Here is a 13769-nt window from a genome sequence, read left to right on the forward strand (position 1 = left end):
TGGATGCCCAGGCAAGAAGTTTGCTGCAGGGGTGGGGTGCCATGGAGCACTGCTAGGGCAGTGCCGAAGGGAAATGTGGGGTTGGAGCCACCACACTGAGCCCCTACTGGGGCACTGCTTAGTGGAGCTGTGAGAAGAGGGGCACTGTCCTCCAGATCCCAGAATGGTAGATCCACTGACAACTTACACCGTTCACCTGGAAAAGCCACAGATGCTCAACGCCAGCCCTTGCAAGCAGCCAGGAGGGAGGCTGTACTCTGCAAACCTACAGGGACAGAGTTAGTCAAGTCCACAGAAACTCACTTCTTGAATCAGTGCGACCTGGATATGAGACATGGAGTCAAAGGAGACCATTTTGGAACTTTAGGTTTAACTGCCCTCCTGGATTTCAGACTTGTCTGGGGTCTGTAGTCCCTTTGTTTTGGCCAATTTCTCCCATTTGGAACAGCTGTATTAACCCAATGCCTGTACCCACAATTGGGCCTAGGAAGTAACTATCATTCTTTTGGTCTTACAGGCTCATAGGTTGAAGGGTCTTACCTTGTCTCAGATAAGACTTTGGACTGTGAACTTTTGAGTTAATGTTGAGATGAGTTGAGACTATGGGGGACTGCTGGAAAGGCATGATTGGTTTTGAAATGTGAGGACATGATATTTGTGAGGGGCCAGGGGCAGAGTGATATGGTTTGGCTGTGTCCCCAACCAAATCCCATCTTGAATTCTCACAGGTTGTGGGAGGTACCCGGTGGTTGGTAATTGAATCAGGAGGGCAGGTCTTCTCTATGCTGTTCTTATGATAGTGAGTAAGTCTCATGAGATCTGATGGTTTTATAAAGAGGAGTTCCCCTGCACAAGCTCTCTCTCTTTGCCTGCCACCATCCACGTTAAGATGTGACTTGCTCCTCCTTCTGCCATGGTTGAGAGGCCCCCCCAGCTTATGGAATCGTAAGTCCATTAAACCTCTTTTTTTGTAAATTTCCCAGTCTCAGGTATGTCTGTTTCAGCAGGGTGAAAACAGACTAATACAGGATTCAGACAGATTTAGAATTTTAATGGCTTCTTGATGGATTTACCAATTTATAATTATAAAATGTCCATTTTATCTCTTGCGTTAAAGTCATGACCTAGTTTCTGTTGCTCAGTTTTACATGATATGTACTTTTCATCCTTTCATTTTCAAAGCCATTCTATATTCTTACTATAGTGTGTATTTAATGATTAACATACATCTTTGATTTTAATCCTGTCTGATAATTTTATGATTTACTTGGAAAAATTTGTTTATTTACGATGCAATTATTGTAAAGTTAGGGTTAAACCTACCGTCTTGTTTCCTCTGATTTTCTTGATTCATGCTTTCATTTGAATTAGTTTAATTATAGATTTTTTCTTATATTAACTTGCTAAATATGCAAGATTATTATACAGAAGATATCCTCAACTTATTAATGCCTAATACACATATAGTGTATTAAAATTTCTCTCTCAAATTATTTCTAGGTAAGTGACACAAGCAGAATCAACCTTCGGAAGATCATCTATTTCCTGCTGGGTTGACCTGGAATGTGTGATATGACCTAAGGTAACCTTTGAGTCACCACACAGACCTAGAGCTCTGTGTGATGCAGCACTTCCTCAGGAGCTTGCAGTGGCATCAGGGCCCAGCCTTGAATGCCAGGCAGGGGTCTCTCGACTCTGTGATTCTTCCCAGGAAATACATAAGAACTTGCATCTGGGTTCATATCTCAAACGCAACCCACCAGTCTCTCACGTACTGACCTCTGCTCCAAGTCTTCAGATGGTTATTTTTCATGGGGTAAAAATATGGCTTACATATTATCTTGTAATTCTGTTTAAGATGGCATACTTATGTTCCTTTATTCTTTCAAACTTGGTCCTTATTGTTGAAACCCAGCTTTGGAGTTCAGAAAACTACTTTTTACTTCAACATGCTGTGGTTGAGACTGTGGAAAGACTTTTGGCACTAGGTCTTTATTTTTGCATACATTTGCAGCAACATATCTAGTAACTTAAAAATCTAGACCGTGAAGAGTTATATTTTGGTACTCCCTGAAAAAAGTAGGAAAAAATACAGTGCCTGCTGGTGTCCTGGTCAGGGGTCTGCCTTCGGAAAAGTGGTGGGGGGAGGTGGAGGAGGGGAGGGAAACTGTTTTAATATTACCAAACCTTATCAACATACATATACTCTAGTAACTGCTAAACCAAATCAAAAGAATGTATTAGTTTTGCGTTGCCAGTAATCAGTCTCAATTAGGTGCCTGTTACGCAGAACGAATTTACTTGATGAATGAATGTAGGGAAGGAAGAGAGGCTTAGAATGAGCTTTCATTGAGCTTTCTCTTCTCTCGTGTCTCATTGCTCAAAGGGGAGGTGTACCTCCTCCTTTTTGCAGACTCTGTCATGCAAAGGCCGCTGCAGCTGATGGGAACTTAAAATGTGGTGCCTGAGGTGTAGCTGAGAAATTTATGGTCATGAGCCCTCAGCTGTACCAAGTCCTCTGAGTTCTCCAACATCTTGGTCTTTAGGCATCTAAGAGAATCCACAGTGCCTGCTCTCCACAGAAACAACACATCTGGGCAGCTAGGCCACAGCAAGCAGGGAGGTTTGTGTTCAGGACTGTACCATTGTGGGAGAATAATGTGTACTTTGCTGGCAGCAATAAACCCCAACATCCTCAGCATCCATCCTCCTTATTTTAAACATGAAATCTGTCCCCGACCCACTGCCACTGAACCTGTCTGGGACTCCAGGGTCCCTGTTGGAAACCAAATCAATCAGGAGCCGTGGAGGCTGGCCTGGCTTCTGTAGGTCCCAATTCAAATAGGTGTATCCATTACTGTGAAAGGGGCTATGACTGGATCTACAGGAGATAGAGGCTGGCTTTCCAGGGGTGACGGGCAGGGAGAGTAGAGGCTGGGTCACACAGCATCTCCATTGGATCCTGAAATAATAAGAGAGAAGTGCAAGGTTATGTACAAACATTGTGAGCCATTTTAATAATTTTCTGTCTGTTATTTATGTTTTGCTCAATTATTTTTTGTGTATGATTTTGGTTAATACTCCCAAAACATACAGGTTTAAAAAGAACCAAGATTTGCAAAGCACAAATAAGCCTCTAGAAGTCACCTATCCCATCCCCCTCTTTCTGTGTCACAGCTTTCACTAAAGTACATGTCCTTGCTCCTTCTGGAATCTTCCTCACTCTCACAGATCTAGACATCACATGCCCCATCCTGGAGGACAAGACACATCTAACACGAGGACAGAACACACATGGGAGGTGGCAGGGCCCACAGAGTTCACCCTCCCACCCCATCATCCTCCCTCATTTCCCTTCTGCTCTCAGCAGGGACCCAGTGCATTAGCAGCCCTGGGAGCTGAGCAGGGAGCCTCACTGTGGGAAGGTGAACTGAGGAGTCCTGATCAGTCAAGGCAAGGTTAGAGCTGAGCTTTTATCTCAGACTCACAAGGGAAGGTCTTCCCTAGGGGACAGTATGCAAATCCCCTGGTGGGTGCAGTGGGGTGGAAAGAGCCAAGGAGAAGGTGGGGACCTCTCTTGTGAGCAAAATGACATAAATATATTTTATGTTTTTAAGGATATCAAGAGAGGTAAAATCTGTTTCCTGAGTGGCAGAAGGGACATATTTAGATGTTTCCTGCTATTTCCTCTACCCAATTTCTAGTTCGTTAGGACTTTCTCAGGCATGTTTTACACTTCTCTTTAATAAGGTTGAGCTTTCATAAATATTTGGTGATTCTTATTTCTTGGTTCAGGCTTATTTAAAAGAGCCTAGGTTTGTTTTATTTTATTTTATTTAAGGAAAAACACACAGTGCAAAAGGTTCAAATCTTAAGGGTGCAAATGAATGTCAAAATCCAGATCATTTCATGTCATGATCCACATCAAAATATGGAAGGTTTCCAATTCTCTTGCTGCTTTCATTATGCACCTTCCCAGTCAGCAACTGCTGCTCAAAACACAATCAATGTAACTGATACTGTGACATCTATTATAATTGTTTTTTTTTCCTGTACTTAATCTTCATATCAGGTAAACATTTTTTGTAGCTTCTTTCTTATTTCTTTCATTTTTTGAGGGCTTGATTCCTTCTTATCAATTTGAATTGCTGTCTGCTCTCATTCCCTGTTATTCTGAAGGATTTTCTCTTGAATTTTCCACAAGGCACATATGCTATAATGAATTAGTCTTTGTGTATGAAGGAACATTTCTACCTTGCTTTTATGTTTAAATGATTGTTTTGCTGGATATAGCATTTGTGGCTGACTTTTCTCCCCCAGCATTTAAATATATCATTCCACTCTCATCCCACCTCTATTAGTAATGATGAAAATTTAGCCAATACCTTTATTATTGCTTCCTAGTATAGAGTAAGTCAGTATTTTAGTGATGCCTTCCAAATTCTCTGTGTCTTTGTCTTTCAACATTGGTACTATAATGTGTATTGTTATGAACTGTATTGTGCTTATCCTAGAAGGGTTTCACTGAGTTACTTTCATGTACAGACTAATGTGTTTCATCATTGTGAAAAATGTTTTTCATTATTTCTCCATTTTTTTCTTTTTCAGTTTTTATTTTAGAATCAAACCATACATGTACAGATATGTTACAAAGTTATTTTGCATGATGCTGAGGTTTGGGGTATGACAGAAATTATTAACCAGTTAGTGAACATTGTACCCATAGGTAGTTTTTCAGCCCCTGCCCTTTCTCCCTTTGTGTTCCTTCTAGCACAATGTCTATTGTGCCCATCAACCAGGGATTCAATAAAGAAACTGTGGTATATATGCACCATGGAATACTATGCAGCCATAAATAAGAACAAAATCTTGCCCTTGCAGAAACTTGGATGCAGCTGGAGGCCATTTTCCTAAGTGAACAGATGCAGAAACAAAAAACCAAAAACCACATGTTCTCACTTATAAGTGGGAGCTAAACATGGGGTATTCATGGGCATAAAGATGGGAACACATTTTTAGCCTCTTTCTGTCTTCTCCTTTGTGATTCCTAATACAAATTTGTTGGTATTATACACATGGACCTATAATGTCTGAGGTTTTATTCATTCTTCTTTATAATTTTTTCCTTCTTTATATGAGACCATTTCTATTGACTTGTTTTTCAGTTCACTGATTCTTGTGTCATCTTAAATTGCTATTGAGTCTATCTAATACATTTTTCAATTGAGTTGTTGTACTTTTCATTTCTAGATTTCCCAGTATGCTTGTTTTCATAGTTTTGTCTCTGTTTGAGAGCCTCTATTGGTTGAATCATTGTCTTTACAAATTCCTTTTTCAGTCTTTTATTATAGGTTAAAATAATTCTTTGAACATATATTTGATAAGGGTGGAGCACATAGACACCATGGAGATGGACCATAAGGCAGGGAGCTCCGAATTAGATTAGGTGAATTTTGAGTCTCTGACTATATGATGCTCTTGTGGGTTTTAATTATTTCCCATGTTTTATGTTTCTCATATTACAAATAGCTTTTATTTTTAAGATAGTAACTATTATAGAAATTCAGCTTATAAATCCCTGGAAATTTCTAACAGAAAGATTGATGAAAAGAGGGTTTTTTTAGGCCCCCACACCAGCCTCTGCCTGGGACCTGACTTTGTCTCTGAGCCAGTGGAATCTGTGATGAGGTTTTGAGTTGGGCAGTGAAATCACCACAGGGCAGGCTGTGCTCTGGGTGCTTTGGATGACAGGAGGACACTCCTTCAGGGTCAGTGATGCTGGGAGTTCAAAGGGAGACTCAGCATGGAGCTGCCTGTGAGTTATCCCAGCAATCCTGTTTGGACAGTGATCATCTCACAAGTGTGCTCGGAAGCCACTGGATGGCCAAAATGTGGGCTCAGGTTGGAGAAGGACAAAGCTATAGGGATGAAAATATAAGACTCATTTGATACTCTGAAATATCAGTACAACCATCATGAATTATATGGGAAGAGAAAGGAGTCACAAGATTGTGATTTTTTATTTGATATTAAAATATGTCACCTCTGCTCATTTTTCCCTCAAGGATGTACCTACTGATATACATTTAACCAAAGTCACTGTTTTTAATTTTCATTTTAGTAACTGACAGCCTATGTGCAGAGTTCCTAAATAACGAAGCCAGACCATCATTGCTATGGGTGAAGCCAGGAAGTGACTGTGGATGTGAACAAATGTGAGATTCATGTACACGTCTCCAAAGACAGAGGCCACTGATCTGGGGAGAACCTGCAGTCATTTCACTTTCCCATACCCAGATGAGAGGACACCTTGATCTGTGTTCATCTGATGAACTCTAAAATCTGGACCATATTCTGAAGGTGTAGTTCACACTTCTTTTCTGTGCTAGTGGGACTCTCTCACTGACGTGTATTGTACCCTCTGCATAGGACAGTCTGTGATACATACTACTTGTTTTCTGCTAAACACCCATCAATCATGTCATTTATGAGTCTTCCATAGGTGTTACCTAACCTATGGCTATGGGGTCTTCCAAAAGAATGGGCCGGAGGTGGAGCTGTGAAACTGTAGCTGGATAAAAAGTGTAAATGTCAAGAAAGGGTATTGAAGTGGTGATAATAATAATAATAATCCAAATTAGTCTGGGCTCTTGGCTGTGATTACTGGTAAATGTGAAAGAGTCTAGGTTTGGTTTTTATTAGTTTTATTTCAACTGATAAAGTAGCCAGAGTAAAGTGCATAAATCTTGAATGTTCAACTGAATACAGTTTTTGTGTAATTCATTGTCCAAATGGAATGATAGAATATTTCACATTCCCTTGTGCTTCCCTCATGGACAATCTTTGTCAGTTATCACCCCTCCCACCCAGCAAAATTAACTGTCTTTCTGACATCTATACAATCATTTAGGTTTTCCTGTCTTAAACTTTATATAAATAGCATTAAGTGTATTTTTATCTTTTTAGACTTGGTATTGCTCCTTACAACTTTTGAGGCCTTCATTTCTTTCAGAGGATTCAAGGTCCTGTCTTATGTCATTTCCTGTGATTCTGAAGGATTTTCTCTCAAATGTCTTGTAAGAGACATAGCTGCTATGAATGAATGTATTTTGTTTATCAAATAATTTTTTTGCTTTTTCTTTAGATTTGAAGGGTATTTTCGATGGATATAGATTTCCTGGTTGCCTTTTTTTTTCCTTTCAGCATTTAAATATGACATTTCACTCCTTCTAGCCTCTATTGGTCCTGATGAAAACTCAGCCAATGGCTATGTTGTTGTTTTTCTGTATATAGTATCTGCTTTCATTCTTGATGCAATGAAGATTTTCTCTTTGTCTTTCAATATTTTAATATAATGTGTTCAGTTATTAATTCCTATTGATTATCTAAAAGATTTTTATTGAATTTTTTCATCTAAGAATTTTTTATTACTTTTGAAAAGTTTTTGTCATTATTTCTCCAAAGATTTCTTCAGCCACTTTCTCTTTCTCTCCTCCTTTGTGACTCTTATTATACATTTGTTGGTATTCTTCACTCTGAGCTATAAATCTCTGAAGTCTTCTTTTTTTTCTAAACTTTTTCTTTAGACTCAATAATTTCTATACCTCTATTTTCAAGTTAACTGATTGTTCTGCCATCTCAATTTGCTATTAGACCTAGCTAACAAATATTTAAATTGGTTTATTGTACTTTTCATTTCTAGAGTTCCAATTTGGTCATTTTTTATATTTTCCATGTCTTTTCTTGAGCCCCTACTTGCCGAATCTTCTTTTTTTTTTTAAATATTTTCTTTTTTATGTCAATGATCATAGATTTAAACATAATTATTTGAACATCTGCATATTAACTGCTTTGTAGTCTTTGCTAAATCCAATAATTGGGACAAGTTAGAATTAGCTTTCATTGACTATTTTCTGTTGTTATTATTGTAGCTGCTTTATTTTTATTCCTTTAATATTGTTCATACTTCTCTGCTTTTTTCCAGAAGTTGTGAAACTAAAAATTGTACATTTTTGATAGCATATTATAGTAGCTGTCTTTAGATTTTGGGCTTTTTTATTTTAATTTTAACTTTTTTAGAAATAGGGTCTTACTTTTTCACCCAGGCTGGAGTGTGGTGCTGTGACCATAGCTTGCTGCAGCCTCAACCTCTTGGGGTCCAGAGGTTCTGCAGCTTCATCCTCCTGAGTAGCTGGGACTATAAGGGCATGCCACCACTCTCTGTTATTTTTTTTTTTAATTGTAAGATAAGAGTGTCACTATTTTGCCCACCCAGCCTGGTCTCGAACTCCTGGCATCAAGTAATCCTTCTGCATCAGCCTCCCAAAGTACTGGGATTACAAGCTTGAGCCACCATGTCAGGCCTGGAATTTGTTTTGTTTTTCTGATCATTTTTTAATTTTCTTCTTAGTTTCTTGTCTGAACTTACTGATAGTACCTGACTTATGACAGTTGGAGTTATAATGTTTTGACTTTCAGATGGTGTGAATGTGATATGCATTCAAGTAGAAATAGAAATTCTAGTATTTACACAACTATTCTATTTTCTCTTTCAATATAGTATTCAATAAATTACATGAGGTATTCAACACTTTATTGTAAGATAAGCTTTGTGTAAGATAATGTTGACCAACAGTAAGCTAATGTAAGTGTTCTGAGCATATTTAGGATAGGATAGGCTGAGGCATAATGTTAAGTGGATTAGATGTATTAAATGTATTTTCAATGCAAGATATAGAAAAATCTGTATCTCATGTGGCGTTTGACCACAGATATCTCTGCTTCTTTCTGTTCTTAATATTAATATTTAGTTTGATTTTATAGGAACTACACATGTATCTGCATAGCGAAGTGGTCACCAATGATCTGAGACATTTTGCTCAAATATCTGGAGGTTATAAATCTATCTTCTGTCAACCCATCTGTGTGTAGTTTAAAAAGCAAACTGCATGCAAAATGCAGCTAGTTCTTACCTCCCTCTGGTTTTACTTTGCACCGGAAACTCCTAGTTCTCATCACTCATATCTATAACTTCTAGGTCACTAGGAATATGTGCAGAGATTATTTCAGCAATGTGGGTCTATCTTATCCAGGAATCTGCTATTTACTATCAGCAGATGTACTACTTGCCTCAAACAAGGCATCATCTTGGACTAGCAAGGCTGTGGGCTTTTTCTGTTCATTTCCTATGGTGTTCTCCCTGTTTAGCTGGAAACACTGAAGAATTATTTCCCACTCCTTGGCTTCACTCAAGTCCACCCACTTTGGCAGCAAGCTGCCAGTTTTATTTGCTATCCTTACATGGGTAAAACTCCAGTTCTGCAATTCATATTGACTGAGCTGGGAATAGAAGGGTGCTGTCACAGGCAAAAGGCTACAGACATTTTCTGTCCTTACTCAAAGCACTAGTACTTTTTTTTTCTATAAAGAATATGCATCCTTAATTATTTTATGCTTTGCCAATTTTCAGAGTGCTGAAATAGTTTTGATATTTCAACTTTATATTTATAGGTGTGTTTGTTGTTTATTCTTGCACAGATTTATTAAACTCTTTGTGATGCCATAAACAGAGATGCCTTCTGAAATGCGTTTAAATGAATGTAATAGCCACACTGAAATGGTATGATGTAATGGACTAACATAAGTAATTTTGGACTTGAGAACTTGAGCTCCAAAATGGCCAAATAGAGCAGAGATGCTAAAACTGAGTGGCCACCACACTAGCTGTCTGTAAAGGAAGCAGCTGGTATAATCTAGTAAACACTGATGGTCTTCTTGAGGTTTTTGTTTCATGTTGAATCACTGTGGGAGGCCAGTTATTATACTGCTGACAGTAATAAACTGCAAAATCTTCAGACTGCAGGCTGCTGATGGTGAGAGTGAACTCTGTCCCAGACCCACTGCCACTGAACCTGGCTGGGATACCAGTGGCCCTGGTGGATGCACCATAGATGAGGAGCCTGGGAGCCTGGCCAGGTTTCTGCTGGTACCAGGCTAAGTTGCTGCTAACACTCTGACTGGCCCTGCAGGAGAGGGTGGCTCTTTCCCCTGGAGACACAGACAGGGTGGCTGGAGACTGCGTCATCACTATTTCTCCAGTGGTATCTGAAATTGGAAATAAAACAGAAATGCACTCATGTAATCAAAATCAAACCCACTGTCTTTAAGTAGAGCCAAAATTGTTGATCTACATTGAATTTTAATTATATTTCTTGCTGAGCAGAGGTGGCAGGAGTTTTCACTGATGTGCAAAACCACCTCATATTCCCCTCACCTGGGAGCCAGAGTAGCAGGAGGAAGAGAAGCTGCGCTGGGGCTTCCATGGTTCCGTCTGGGTCCTAACTGAGCAGTTCCTCCCCAGAGCTCTGACCCAGGCATTGATATGGGCTCTGGAAGGTAGGGCAGCTGGGAGGGACATGCAAAGCAGCTGGGGTGGGAGCTGAGCTTTCAGCTGCAAAGACCACCTGCTTCTTCCTCTCTGCACTGAGCATCCTGCGCCGCCCTGGTTGTCAGGCCAGAAAAGTCTGTTGGCTCAGTCTGAGTGTAGAACTCCTCCCTTGTGCTCAGAGAATTTCGCTCCTGTGTCTTTCTTCTCCTCAATCACCTAAATCCACCCAGAAGATGTTTGGCACAAGCCTGTTAAGAACAATATAAAAAGCTGTGTTTTCACTTCTCTCTTCCTATCCTCAATATGCCCAGTCATCTCCCTAAGTGCATTATTGGATCGATGGAAATGAAGAGTCTGTTAAAACTTAATCTTCCAGATACACCTTTCATTTGCTTGTTAGTAATGTTTTCTGAGGGTCCTGAAGCTTTCCATTAACCCAGCCACATACCCTCTTTGAGTTAAAAAGTGAAAAACTTCTGTTTACAGTCACATGTCCTGGCAGCCCTGACATAGATGCTCCATGGCTTGCCGATTGCTTGAAATTGATCAAGTAACTTAACTTCCCTGTGTCTCGGTTTCCATATCTGTGTAACTGTGACAATACTGGTACCTACCTTATAGTGCTGTAGACAGTTTAAAGAAAATAAGATAAAACATTTACAATAGTATTCAGGACATTATGTATGCGGCAATTAATTTTGTTTTTATTTATTAAATATTCAGCACTACAGTCATCATCATTATCATAAATATACTTACTTAGCACAGAAAAGAGTCTTCAGTCTAATCCAAGAATGTTTTATCCACAGCCAAATTTAATTCTAAGGCTTTTCCTTCACTAACTCTACACAACTCTTTAAATCCTAATGATTTGGTCTTAATCTGTGCTAAAGTACTCACACCTTCAATCATTCCCACCCATCCCTGTCTAACTCATTAATTCTCATCATCCATTATCAAAATGTTACTCTATAAAAGGTTCCCATGTCCTGTTGCTGTCCTTCTTTCTTACACAATCTTTATTCTACCCTGTTATCTTTTGTCTTATTCTTGCCCCAGGACAATAAGGAAAAGCTACCATCATTACCTGTTGACTTGCTCCAGTATAATTTTTTCAGGCTTGTTACCTTGGAAATGAGGACTATGTCTGGCAAAGAAACATATTCATCGGGTCAATGTGTTATGAAATAAAATATTTTATCTACTTATGATCCAATAATTAATTTAGACCTACTTGAACGGTTTTTTTTTAATGAACGAAGAAGAAGATGATATAAGAGGAAAATACAATACAATAGAAAACACAAGCTATTATAACTCTTGCTTCACGGATTTCTACATATATATTAGACATATGCTGGGTATATGTGTGCAATGGTGATCCAAAAACTGAACGCTAACTGGCTGAAGGAAAGCCTGTATTACATTGGGTCTTGTCTATTTTTCCAATTATGAACAGAAAGCTACAGTACTATTTGTATGAGTATCAAACCTTCTAGCTGCTGTGATGGAGGTAGAGAAGATTTACTGAGACTAAAGCCTTGGAAGTACTAGAAGTTTGTCCTGTGATGTTATGGGTGTTGCTGTGGTTGTTGTTGTTAGGAAATACAGTGGAAGTCAAAGCAAGTAGAAAATTTACAAGCTCTGCTCTTCCTCATACTCACAACCCCTTCTAGAGATGACAGATAGTGGCATAGGAATCTCTGACACCTCTAAGGAAGTCTTTTTTGCTCTTTCCGGGATCTTTCCTGACAAGTATTGTTTTGAGTCACAGATGATGTGGAAGTAGGTGTAGAAGAAAGGACTAGAGCAAGGGAAGAAGTTTTCAATCCCAGGTAGTTGTTGTAGGCACAGGGAAATGGAATTTTTCATAGATTTATGCTACACTTCTATCATGTTGGGGAGAGAGGCATCAAACCAAGCTTATTCTTGAAAGAAACATTACATTATTTTAAAGAGAAGGAACTATGCATTTCTTGTCAAATAGATGTTTAAAATTCAAAGCTACAATTTTTTTTTTTGACAGTATCTTGCTCTGTCGCCCAGGCTGTAGTGCAGTGGTGCGATCTTGGCTCACGGTAACCTCCATCTCCCTGGTTCAAGTGGTTCTCCTGCCTTAGCCTCCCAAGTAGATGGGATTACAGGCATGTGCCACCACACCCAGCTAATAACAGGAGGGAGTAAAGGGCCACACAAGCATGTACACAAGAGACAACTTTTCTTCTTTTTTACAGAATAAGTCTAAATGTAAAATAGCGTTATAATGTATGGACTCATGTTTAAGACAAGTCTCTTGGTTTTCTAATTTGTGTTGAACCCAAGCAGTGTTGTGATAGAAAATGAGTTTCTTTTTCTTTAAGCTGAATTTGAATTTGCTCCAATAGCCTAATAGACACCCTAGTGGTAAGTCCTCTGTGATGCTCGCCATTGTCCCCATGTCTAACAAGGATTTCTACTGGACATAGAAGTTTTTCTAAGTCCAACAAGAGGGAAAGAGACTGGGCCATCATTGTTCTCATCTCAGATTTCCACTTCCTGCATAGAAGGTATACATATAGGTAGCCAGACGTTATGAAAATGGATTGTAAGCATTTGTTAGTGAACAAAATATGACTCAAACAGTATTTTTATTTTTTATTTTTAAATTTCTATTGCTTATTATTTGAGACAGACTGTCACTCTGTCACCCAGGCAGGAGTGCAGTGGGTGCAATCTTGGCTCACTGCAACATTCACCTCCTGGGTTCCAGTGATTCTCAAGCCTCAGCCACCCAAGTAGCTGGGATTACAGGTGTGTGTCACTACGTCCAGCTCATTTTTTTTTTTGTATTTTTAGTAGAGACAGGGTTGCACTGTGTTGGCCAGGCTGGTCTTCCTGACCTGAAATGATCCGTCCATCTTGGCCTCCAAAAGTGCTGGGATTACAGGCGTGAGCCACCGCACTGGGATTTAAGCAATATTTTTATTAAGTAAAGTGTAGAAGAAAAAGTGTAAGTAAGGTGACAATAAGAAAACAAAATGCCGTAATGGAAAACGATAACTTTAGGGCAGAAAACAAGAAAAGGCAAACCAAGATTCCTGTAGGGCAAGCCTCCAATGCACAATCCAAGGAGGAATGTCAAGGGTGAAAACTCTGGAGCATCCAGATAGTGGCCCAAAATACCAAATGCTGAAAACCCAGAATACCCAAGTAACAGCCTATGAGTGTCCCCACACCAAATGCCAGGAAACCCTGGAGTATCCAGGGGCTGACCAGTGCAGAAAATCCTGGAGCCTCAGTGGGGTGGCCAACAATGAGCCCCAAAGGCCTGGTTGGGGCCATAAAACAATGTGACTCTGGCTTCTTAGAGTCAACAGAACAGGAGAATTCTTACATCCAAGTG

General features: G+C 39.4%; 1 pseudogene, 1 gene segment (V, D, J or C) and 1 further gene, besides 4 other annotated features; 1 reads left to right on the forward strand and 2 right to left on the reverse strand.

Moving 5' to 3' along the window:
• IGK (immunoglobulin kappa locus) overlaps positions 1–13769 on the forward strand; it is a 1378008-nt gene that overhangs the window by 218008 nt on the left and 1146231 nt on the right.
• IGKV2-14 (immunoglobulin kappa variable 2-14 (pseudogene)) lies at positions 2651–3416 on the reverse strand (annotated as a pseudogene). Its single transcript is given in 2 exon segments — positions 2651–2962; positions 3368–3416. Coding segments are annotated over 2 exon segments (361 nt in total).
• Positions 2952–2962: a sequence feature (IGKV2-14 leader sequence).
• Positions 3368–3416: a sequence feature (IGKV2-14 leader sequence).
• IGKV3-15 (immunoglobulin kappa variable 3-15) lies at positions 9809–10322 on the reverse strand. The segment is given in 2 exon segments: positions 9809–10104; positions 10274–10322. Coding segments are annotated over 2 exon segments (345 nt in total), but the record flags the coding sequence as incomplete, so codon positions are not given.
• Positions 10004–10104: a sequence feature (IGKV3-15 leader sequence).
• Positions 10274–10322: a sequence feature (IGKV3-15 leader sequence).

This window comes from Homo sapiens, chromosome 2 (assembly GCF_000001405.40).
Source record: "Homo sapiens chromosome 2, GRCh38.p14 Primary Assembly".
In the NCBI taxonomy this organism is placed as follows: domain Eukaryota; kingdom Metazoa; phylum Chordata; class Mammalia; order Primates; family Hominidae; genus Homo; species Homo sapiens.